Source organism: Homo sapiens, chromosome 1 (genome assembly GCF_000001405.40).
Source record: "Homo sapiens chromosome 1, GRCh38.p14 Primary Assembly".
Classification (NCBI taxonomy): Eukaryota; Metazoa; Chordata; class Mammalia; order Primates; family Hominidae; genus Homo; species Homo sapiens.
This window is the reverse complement of record NC_000001.11, coordinates 212,505,370-212,516,778: the sequence shown is the minus strand read 5'-3', so window position 1 is coordinate 212,516,778 and position 11,409 is coordinate 212,505,370. Positions and strand designations below refer to the sequence as shown.

At 48.4% G+C, this 11,409-nt stretch overlaps 1 long non-coding RNA gene across 1 annotated transcript, besides 1 other annotated feature; it reads left to right on the top strand.

The window, feature by feature from the left end:
* On the top strand, nt 1,997-10,377 carry LOC105372908 (uncharacterized). Its single transcript, XR_922579.1, has 2 exons — nt 1,997-2,255; nt 10,289-10,377. It is a non-coding gene; the product is annotated as an uncharacterized LOC105372908 (long non-coding RNA).
* Nucleotides 2,011-2,738: an enhancer, noted in NCBI's record as "H3K27ac-H3K4me1 hESC enhancer chr1:212687383-212688110 (GRCh37/hg19 assembly coordinates)". NCBI's record gives its function as "activates a minimal SCP1, AML or CMV promoter by ChIP-STARR-seq in naive H9 embryonic stem cells {active_cell/tissue: H9 hESC(naive)}" and the evidence as "EXISTENCE:reporter gene assay evidence [ECO:0000049][PMID:30033119]".
* Nucleotides 10,378-11,409: the final 1,032 nt, after the last annotated feature.

Here is an 11,409-nt window from a genome sequence, read left to right as displayed (position 1 = left end):
CTCTGGGAAGTGCTGGTTTCCAGATAAAGCTCATGTTCCCTATCCCAGGGTGCAGGACCTTAGGATCTGGGCCCTGCCTGGCCCTCTGGCCACACCCTGAACCACCCTTTTTGCTTCTCTACTTTTGGCTTCAGTAAAGGCCAGCCGTAGTTGCCTTCAAACACTGCATTTGGCATTCTGGGCTCAGGCTGCTTCTGCTGTCTGGAATGCTCTCCCCACCCGTCCTCACCTGGCTCACTGATTCATTCTTCAAGTCTCCACTTGGGCATCACCTCATCAAACTACCCTGAAGCCCAGACAGGGCTGAGCAGCCCACAGTGCTCCTGAGCTCCCGTAGCACCTGAAGCACTACAGTCCTACAGTATGCATAGTTTGAGGTTATGGACTCATTTCTCTACTTGACCTGCAAGGCAGAAACCCTGTCTTTTCATCATTGGTAGATCCAGAATCTGGTAAAGTGTCTGGCACAGAGTAGATGCTCCATAAAGGTCAAAATGAATTGAAAAGTAAATAGAGCTTTGGAAGGCCAAGGCAGGAGGATCACTTGAGGCCAGGAGTTCAAGACCAGCCTGGGCAACACAGCAAGACCCCATCTCCACAAAAAAATTAAAAATTAGCCAGGTGTGGTGGCGCATGCCTGTGGTCCTAGCTACTCGGGAGGCTAAGGTGGGAGGATCACTTGAGCCCAGGAGTTGGAGGCTGCAGTGATGGTCGTGCCACAGCACTCTAGCCTGGAAGAGTGATATCTGGTTTCGAAAAAGAAAAAAACAAAACAAAACAAACAAAAAGCAGAAAAAGAAAAGAAGGAAAAAAACAAAAGAGAGAAAAGTAAATAGAACACAAATATGCGTGAGATAAAGATACAGGGAGTGAGGGCGGGAGAGCGCAGTCTCGGGGAGGGAAGGAGCCGAGGGGTATCTTCTTCACGCAACATGGGAAAAGATGATTAAGTTGCCTGCTCCTGCTCCTCATTCTTTCCTCCTTCCGGCTAAACACTCCTAGTTGCCTTAACCTTTAATCTGACATCCATCTCATTTTCCAACCCTCTAATCATCTTCGTCATTGGCATCACTCCGTGCCTTCTCCACATTTTCTAGAGCTGCTTTTGTGTGTAAGACGATGCGTTCAGAGCCGCAGGAACACACAGCCCCAGGAGGACGGCTTCCACTTAATTAGCTTAATTCCACAATTCCCTGAGCCTCACGTCGCCCGACCTGGTGGCTGTTTAGAGGAGCCCTGCCTCTGGGCACCGGCAAATTATTTTCACAGGGAAGCTAGTGGAGAGAGTGTAATTGGTGATTATGCTAATTCCTTCCTTTTCTGTGTCAGAGACTGCTCTGCAGGGAGGCCAGGCTCCCGGGAAGGTGTGTATGAAGGTCTAGCAAGTTCTAGGCTCCTTCCTCCACAGCAGCCCTCCATGTCACAGGCCCTGAAGCAGTGCGGAGACAGCCCACAGGTGAAAGGACCTCCCCAGGGTCACCCTCGGAGGAAAGACACGTCCCGTGTGCGGGGCGGGGCGGGGCGGGGCGGGGCGGGGGGGGGTTGTCATTCCACCCTAAGCTTCTGGAACCCCAAACTTAAACCATTACCCCACCCCGCAGCTCCCTCTCGGGTGTCGGTGACGGCAGAGGAGGCCAGTCCCTTAGCAGCTGTGAAATCCTGTGACATAGGCCGGGTCGCCGCAGGGCAGCCTTGGACTGCCCGACTGTGGCCCCCTAGGCGGTCTGTAGGATCTAGGGCCCGCCGCCTCTGGAGCAGGCGCTCTCCTGAGCCCCTCACAGGAGGCCGCCTGGGGAGCCACTGGGTCCCTCAGCTTCCTCAGCCCGAGCCCAGCACAGTCCGGCGGCGCTGGCTCCGGCTGTTTCTGGCTGGGGCCGGCGCCTCCAGTCCGCGAGGACCTGGCGGGGGCGCGCGGCTCAGAGCGTAGAGATGGAGGGGCGCGGGGCACGGCGGCGCGCTCGGGGCCCACGTGGCGGGGGCTGGGAGGCTGCGGGGGGCGGGCAGAGCACTGCGAAGTCCTTGCCGGCTCCAGGACCCGCCGGGTCCTCTAACGAAGTCCCGGCTTCATGGCCGGCACAGAGAGGTAGCGTTGAGGTGTGGAGTCTTGAAGACGCTGCCCAGACTGATGCCACCTCTGTGTCCCCAGGATGCGTGGCGACAGCAGGAGAGGCCCCTCCCTGACCCCCAACCGCCCCCAACGCAGAAGCTCAAGGAGGCTGCGGCCTACTTGGTGAGAGGCCCAGAGGCTGCTGCAGGTAGAGAGGGCTGCGGCGCCCGCGGTGGTGGGGAAGGGTCATTTGGTCTGAATGTGGTTTCCAAACTGCCCCGGTCGGCTTTATCCTCCCTGATGGAAGGCAGTAGGGCAGCAGCACAGGTGGGCGCCAGGGCAGGCGGGGCAAGGGACGGGAGCTCTCTGTGACTCCTTTGCCTCTGGAAAACGGGGACGGCACTGAGCCTCGTCTGCAGCAGTGTCGCATGCATGAGCGAGATGTGCAATGTCAGCTCCGGAAGCGACAGCTCGGCTGCCTCACTGCCTGGCCTGCGCCCTCCACAGGAAGTCCTCCTCCTGCCTTCCCTTCACACCTCCTTGGCAACTGTCCAGAGTCCAGGGAGTGAGCTGCCTGGGAAGAATGCAGCGACAAAAATACTTAGCCGCATCCGGAACTTCCCTGGTGGCAGCTGGTCACCGACCATGGGCTTCCCCTGGCAACTGTTGTGTTGGTGAATGAATTCCGAGTCTGACCCTGGCTCTGGCACGCCCCTGGGGGGTCTTGGAGAAGTCACCCAAACTCTCAGCCTCAGTTCCCACCCCTGTCAACTAGGGCTAATAATACCTCCCCAAATGCCCCCTGGGAGTATTAAATAATATAATGTCGATGGCCACCTTTCTTTACTCAGAAGAACAATGAGAGGATAGAGTGCCACAGGAAGGACACAGGGCGCCCAGTAGCGATGCTGAGGGAACTACCCGGAGGCACGTGGCGGTTACCTGGAGACTGTACACCAGCAAACAGCCACTCAGGGGCGCTTGCTGGGCGCCGGCACTGTGCTGAATCTCTACGCAAGCCCCTTGAGTTAAGCATTATCCTCCTTGTGCACATGAGGGAAGGAGACCCTAGAGAGACTAAGGAACCTGTCTGAGGTCACCCAGCACCAGGATTCAAACCCTAGCTGTCTTCTGCCAAGGCCCCCGCTGCCAGCCACTTCACGGTGCTGCCCGCTGGGGGTGAGGTGCCAGGGTCTGTCCCAGCTGGGCTTGAGGGGCTGAGTCACTAATTCTTCCCATGTGATCTCCCTGGGACTCCACTCCCTCATCTGTAAAGTGGGCATGATCATGCCAGCTCAAAATGGATGTTGTGACATCGACTACCAAGGGGTCCTCACCCCTCTGCATTGCTCAGCAGGAGACACTTTATAAACAGAGGATTACCTCTGCTGCCTTGAGCCAAATGGCTTGCCCTGCCAAATTGTTGGAATGGTTCAGTGACAAGTGTGCTATTAGGAAGAAATTTATGATGCTTCATTCAGAGTGAGTCACTGAATCCCTGTGGTGAGGGGCATCAGCTAACTGGGGAACCCTGGCCCCAGCTGCCTTGGGTCTGGCTACCTCCCCACCAGAGGGTCAGTGGTGGCCAGTGACGCAGGTAGGTGAGGACAGTTGGGGAGGGCAGGCAGCCTCCAGTAGGGGAGGAGGTGGTGCCTGCAGTGGATCTGCTTAGACCTCACACTACGCGCCACGGGCTCCAGAATTCCCTTTCTGCTTGCCACTGAGTGTCCCAGGATGCCCAAGTGAGGCTCCAGGCCACTCTTCTGCTCCTCTTCACCACATTTGCTCAGCCCTCCCCAGCTGGGTCAGCCAACAGATATTTCAAAGTGTTTTGGTGAACCCTCTTCTCTCTGCCTTTGAGTCACAAATGAGGACAATGACAAATAACTAAACTTCAGGGGCAAGAAGATTTAGCTTAGATGTTGCAGTTCTGCTGGGATTTTTTTTTTTCCTTAAAAACTACAAAACACTATGTTTATGAGAAAAATCTCCAGCCTTAGAAGTTAGTCATAAATGTGACTGTATGAGAAGAACCAGCATAAGAAAACACCTTCCAGAATTGCGGGTGATCTCCTTAGACAGATGTCACTGTAACTCGCCAAACAAATCTGATCCTTCCCCATCTGCTCCCAGGGGCAGTATGAGGGTTTTCTTTGATATAACCAAACCCAGAGGTTAGGATGGAGTATTCACACAGGGCTCAGGACACACAGACTGCCTGACACTTAACTATCTGTAGCATGGACAAGGTGAGAACCAGCTCCCTTCACTGGTGGTTGCCTTTCTAGTTATCCACATTTTCCAAATGGCTGATGGCCAGGCAGGTTGCAAAAGCAGGTGGCTAGGCAGTGAAATGGGGTCTGTAATGTCACTCACTGTGAAGCACACTCCCCTCCCTGACGGTATGAGAAGAACCAGTGTAAGAAAACACCTTCCGGAATTGCGGGTGACCAGAAAAAAACAAAAAACAAAACAAACAAACAAACAAAAAACCAGAAAGAGCCAGGAGAGCCCCTCTGGCTCTTTCTCAGATCCTGTTGACTCCTTCTTTAATCTTAGCCCCATGAGGCTCACCAACGGGACACAGGTTAATAACCAGAGCTGTAGATGTAGAGACAGGCACGCCTGGGAGCTGATCACCTGAGAGTGTGAGAAAGAGTAAAAGAACCCCAAAGAAGAGACAAAATGGCTTTTCACACTGCGGCTGGTCCCTGTGGGAGAAAACGCACCCCACACCTGACAGGTGCTATTCATCACAATGGCCCTGTTGGAGCCGAGCTCATGCTTGGTGCCGTGACCTAAGAAATCAGGGATGCACACAAAGCATGTCCTGAGCATTTGTGATGTGCCAGGCATGCTTCTAGGTGCATTTTCTGCTTGAATTCCTTTGATCCTCACAGCAGTCCTGTAAGGTATTATGTGGCGGAGCCTGGATTTAAATTAGACTCTTTCTCAAATTCCATCTCCAGTGGTTATATTATTAGAGATGTGAATTTGTTCCCCAAAAAACACTTAATGATGCTACTGTTATTTGATCCCTTTGCCAGTGCCAGACAGTGTGCTAAGTATGCGTTTTACGTATGTTAATTCATTTATTATATGCAAAACCACTTTTTTTTTTTGAGACGGGGCTTCCGTCTGTCACCCAGGCTAGAGATAGTGGCTTGATGGCAGCTCACTGCAGCCTCAACCTCCTAGGCTCAATAGATCCTCCCATCTGAGCCTCCTGAGTAGCTGGGACTACAGGGGCACACCACCATGCCCAGCTAAATTTTTGTATTTTTAGTAGAGATGGGGTTTTGCCATGTTTCCCAGGCTGGTCTCAAACTCCTGGGCTCAAGTGATCCACCTACCTCAGCCTCCCAAAATGCTGGGATTACAGGTGTGAGCCATTGTGCCCAGCTGCAAAACCACATTTTATAGCTAAAGAAGTTGAGGCTCAGAGAGATTACTTACCCAGGGTAATAGGGCTAATAAGTAGTGACACTGGGACTTGAACCCAAGTTTCTCCAATTCCAAATCCTTTAGTGATAATTAGTGTGTTCTGCTTCTTTCCCCAGCATGAGGATATGGTATATGTATTTGTAACTACCTAAAGCCATGAGGGTTTGGTTAACAAAATTCTATAAAAGGTCTTATATGAGCCTACAGGACAGAGACCATGGTGGTGTGGGGCAATACAAACAGCATGGGAAGACCTCCTGCTAAACGTGGTGGATTAGCATTCTGCATGTATTTTTTCTCACTTTCTTATAGATTTTTCATAAAGATAGCTGCAATAATTTCTCCCATTCCTGAAACAAGCCTCTTTACAGTGTGATTTTGTCAGTCCTCCCATCAAGATAAAAAGTCTTAAATCTGATCTGACTTGCTTTGACAAACAGAATTCAGTGGAAGTGATGTTGCCTTTAACTTTTTGGAACATTGCCCTGAGACCACCCTTTAAATAAGCTAGTCTAGCATATTAGAAGATGAGGGACCAAGCGGGGAGAACTGAGGAACCCCAACCAACAGCTAGCACCAACTTGTATTTTCCAGGCCAGCCAATGATAACTGAATGCAGCAGTATGAGTGAACTCAGGTGAAACCAGCAAAGGGGTCACCCAGTCAGTTCCTAGAATCATGAGAAATCATAAATTATTGTTGCTTTAAGCTATGAAGTTTGGCGTGATATATTATGTAACAGTGGATAACATCCTTCCAAATCCCACCTCATTCACCCCCCTGCAAAAAAAAAAAAAAAAAAAAAAAACCACTAATAATGGAATTACAAAGCCATTGGGTCAAAAGGATGAAGAGATAAGAAGATAACCACTGGGGAGGAAAGACTTCCAAACATTTTTATAGATGGGCAGGTAGGTAGAGGAGCAGTCTCCACACAGAGCTAAGTCACACCCCACATGCATACAAGAGAAGTGTGTGATGAGAAGTGAACCAAGGTGCTCCACAGAATCTCCAAAAAGTTGATGCTTAAAGGCACCAGGTACCACAGAAAGCAGGGGTGAGACTCAGGGCTAAGCAATAGGAGGCCACCCCCTCCTCTCTTTTTGCATGGAAGAGGCCAGAAATGTATTATCTGGAGAAGTTGACCTGGAGATGCTCTGAGTCAGGTCTGGAACTCAAGACACTAGTCACAGCACAGCATGACAGTGAGGCAGGAGTTTGAAAAATGGGAGAGTAATTTTAAAATATATATAAACTATGGACTCTCAGATTCTTTGGCTGTTCCCAGAACACTAGCAGCTGGGTGTCACTGCCTTTCCAGGCAGGTAATTGGAAGATTCTCCTCTAGATAGATTGAGCTTCTTCACCCACATCCTCCACTCTTAGAAAAGATCTCCACAAAACTTTACTTGAAGATTCTCAGTAAAACAGCCTTCTAACCATCTGGTCACCCTACTATGATGCTCACTAACTTACAAGACTTCCTCACTCTTAAATATGAAGGATCACCGGATATTTGAAATGAAAGAGACAGGTCAAAAGAAACAGAAAGGCCGAGCGCGGTGGCTCACACCTGTAATCCTAGCACTTTGGGAGGCCGAGGCAGGCAGATCACCTGAGGTCAGGAGTTCGAGACCAGCCTGGCCAACATGGTGAAACCCCATCTCTACTTAAAATACAAAAATTAGCCAGCCGTGGTGGCAGGCGCCTGTAATCCCAGCTACTCGGGAGGCTGAGGCAGGAGAATCGCTTGAACCCGGGAGGCGGAGGTTGCAGTGAGCCGAGATTGCGCCATTGCACTCCAGCCTGGGGAGCAAGAGTGAGCCTTCGTCTCAAAAAAAAAAAAAAAAACCAGAAAAAAAAAAGGCTCAGAAGAATCAGACACCAAGAATATACAGTAAGTAGAAAAACCTTTAAAAAACAAAAAGGAAGCTATAAATTAGTAATCTTGGAAAAATACAACATAAAAGGAACAGTCAGAGAAGAAAGCTCTTTGAAGCTTAAAATATAACTAAAGCAAAAAAATTTAATAGAAGCTGCCCAGTACAGGGAGTTTAAAAAAAAAAAAGGTTCACACCAGAGCACATCAGTATCAAATTTTAGAACCAAATGATCAAGAGAACATCCAGAAAGTCCTAGAAAGAGAAACACACCTAATAGACAAAGGAATGAAAGCAGGAAGGGATCTAACTTCTCATCAGAAGCACTAAACAGAACACAGTGGAGAAATGCCTTCAAAATTCTGAAGGAAAACGATTTTCAACTCAGATTAAACCCAGATAATAAAATTCAACCCAGAATTTTATATCCAGCCAAATGATCAATCAAATGTGAAGGGAAAATAAAACCATTTCTGGAATCCAGGACTCAAAAACTCAAAATCATGAAAGAGGAAGGCAAGGCATCCAGGAACATGGGTGGCAAAAGATAAGTAAAATCTCAGGGCAAGGAGAGAGTAGCCAGCTCAGCCTGAAACAGTAGGACAGAGAACTGGGGAGGGAAGTCTCGCCAAGTGACGATGGGAAGAACTGGTAAATTATATGGCATGTATAAGTAGTGGGACATTTTATTGCATACCTTTGATAGACCCAATAAAGGAATTGGGGGAAATTGCAATCCTTTATAAAGGGGAATCCTTTCCCCTTTATTAAGAAATGGGAAAGGGAGTGATGGTGTCTTACTTATTCCAGAAAAAAAATTGAGAAATGGCACTTAGCTGAACATTTTGAAATCTAAAGTAGGGCCAGGCACGGTGGCCCACACCTGTAATCCCAGCATTTTGGGAGGCCGAGGCAGATGGATCACCAGAGGTCAGGAGTTCAAGACCAGCCTGGCCAACATGGTGAAACCCCATCTCTACTAAAAATACGAAAATTAGCTGGGCATGGTGGCAGGTGCCTGTAATCCCAGGTACTCGGGAGGCTGAGGCAGGAGAATCGCTTGAACCTGGGAGGCAGAGGTTGCAGCGAGCCAAGATCATGCCACTGCACTCCAATTTGGGCGACAGAGCGAGACTCCATCAAAAAAAAAAAAAAAAAAAAGAAAAGAAAGAAATCTAAAGTAAAGACAGAAAAAGACATCTGCCTAGTGGAAAGTGGCTGCTTCAGAGTAGCAGGGCAGAGGAGGGAAAGAGTCAAGGCTGTCAGCTGCTGTTTTTTTTTCCCTCTGCCTTTTAGCCCTATTTGATTTTTAACTATGGGTATGGGTCACCTTAATAAAATATAACATTAATTTTTATGCAAAAATAAAGGGCATGGGCCTGAGAGTCATTGCCTGGATTCAAGTCCCACTCTGCAACCCTTATTGGTGGCAGAGCCTGGGTCAAGCCACTGGTCTTGCTGAGCCTCAGTTTCCTTATCTGCCTTGTAAAATGGAGGTGAAGATGAAATATAAGTGAAATATAAGGTGTAGATGAAATATAATGAACACGATGACTGTTAAGGGCCTGGCACAGGATATGTGTTTAGTAAATTATAGTCATTGTGATTTTTAACATTTTTGAGAAATTCCAGGGTATAAAATGAAAGCAAAATTTCACTGTCCAGCATTTGGGAGGAGCCGAGAAAGGCTGGTTGAATGTCGCCCTTGCATTTGTCAGTAGGTTCTCTGGCTGTTAAGCAGCACATGTTCTGCAGGCTCCCACCCAGACCCTCCATACCAGTCAACGGTGATGTCATAGTCAGCTTTCAGAGTGGATTATGAGGAGCTGGGATTCGGCAGAGAGTGGCTTTTCACATAAAGGCCCAATTCATGCCCAGGGACATGCTGGAGGGTTTTCCTTCTGACACAATCATCCCATACAATAAGCCACCTCCAGGGGATGGATCAAAAGCAGCTCCAAGATGGGCATTTCGTGCAAAGCTGGAGGAAGGCAGCCCCGGGCTCAGCTGGGGGCTGGGGAGCACAGTGGAGTCAGGCGGAAAGGTCCTGCCCTTGACCTTCCAAGGTCCTGGGCTCAGAGAAGCCAACAGTGGTCTTATGCCCCACCCAAGGGACAGGCCTCTATGGAAGGCCTAAGGCTGAGAGTGCTGACCCCTTGACCTTAATATATGTACATGTATATTTAAACAAATGTATTGAATGGGGAAATGTCTAGAAAGAGATATACTTTAAAATGTTACCCATAGTTCTTTCTGGATGGTGGTATTGGGGCTGATTTTAATTTCTTTTTATTTATCTGTATGTTTCAATTTTTGTACCAGGATTATACATTCCGTTTGAAGTTTTGATTAATAATAGCAATAATAAAGTAGGAGGTGCTGAATCCTGAGAGTGGGGAAGGTAGGAGGGAAAGTTCCAGGGCCCCTAAAAGGAACAAATGACAGTCAGCCTGAGAGATTCCTTAACAGCAGGGAACATGTCACTCCTCTTCCAGACAGAATTCTTAGAATTCAGAGAGGCTGAGGGTTGGGGTGTGCAGCAAGGCAGAATAATAGAAAACAGCTAATGCTTCAATAACAATGCATGCAATGTGCTGTTCTATTCTTTAACTCCTTTAATCCTCCCAATGACCTCATGAGATAGGGTCAATTATTCTCCCTACTTGACAGATGAGAAACTGGGGTCCAGAGAAGATAAGCACTTGACCAAGGTCCCTGCTGGAACTAGAACCCAAGCATCCCACTGTAGGCTCTGGGCTGGTAACTGCTACGCTTTAATGGCAGCAGCACGATTATAATCAGAGAGAGTGAGAGAAATGCTTAAATCACAGGGGTTATCACTCTTTTCTGAAAGAAAAGCTACTTTTTATTTTCTGGAGGTCTTTACTAGTACCCCTCTTTCTGTTTTACTGCCTAGGCCCCCAGAGAGGAGAGCAAGGTCGCAGCCATGGACTTAGAAATCAACCACTGCAATATAAAGGAATGAATTAATGGTATTTGCAGCAACCTAGATGAGATTGCAGACTATTATTCTCAGGGAAGTAACTCAGAAATGGAAAAACCAAACATCTTATGTTCTTAATCTAAGTGGGAGTTAAGCTATGAGGATGCAAAGGTATAAGAATGACACAATGGATTTTGGGGACTCAGGGGAAAGGTTGGGAAGGGGATGAGGGATAAAAGAATACAAACTGGGGGCTGGCCATGGTGGCTCACACCTATAATCCCAGCACTTTGGGAGGCTGAGGCAGGCGGATGACCTGAGGAGTTCAAGACAGCCTGGCCAACATGGTGAATCCCCGTCTCTACTAAAAATACAAAAAATAGCTGGGCATGGTGGCGCGTGCCTGTAATCTCAGATACTTGGGAAGCTGAGGCAGGAGAATCACTTGAACTTGAGAAGTGGAGGTTGCAGTGAGCTGAGATCGTGCCACTGCACTCCAGCCTGGGAGACAGAGTGGGACTCCATCTAAAAAAAAAAAACAAAAAAAACCTACAAAACTGGGTGCGTGTATACTGCTCGGGTGATGGGTGCACCAAAATCTCACAAATCACCACCAAAGAACTGATTCATGTAACCGAACACCACCTGTTGCCCAGTAACCTATGGAAATAATTTTTTTTTAATTTTACATATGAACACTTGAAAAAAAAAGAGAGAGAGAGAGAGATCAATCACTGCAACCTGGAATTTACGTTCCACTGATACCTTCCAAGCACACCCCACTGGACAATTTTTAAATGCATTCACAATCACTGTCTATTTAATCCTTACACATACCCTGTCGGGTCGACCTTGACACTTGGTTGGCCCCTTATCACCCTTCTTGTGCTTGTTTCATGTTTCTCTTCCACATCAGACTGTAAGTTCCCTGAGGGCAGGGACCCGGTGCCCTTTGTTTGCCTTGTATCACAGGTGTCTGGGACTTTGTCCTGTGCTACCCTGATTGTAACACTGGCCCCATTTTGCCAGCAAGGAAACTCAGGCTCAGAGACATTAAGGATCTTGCTCAAGATCCCACCGTGAATAGCAATGGA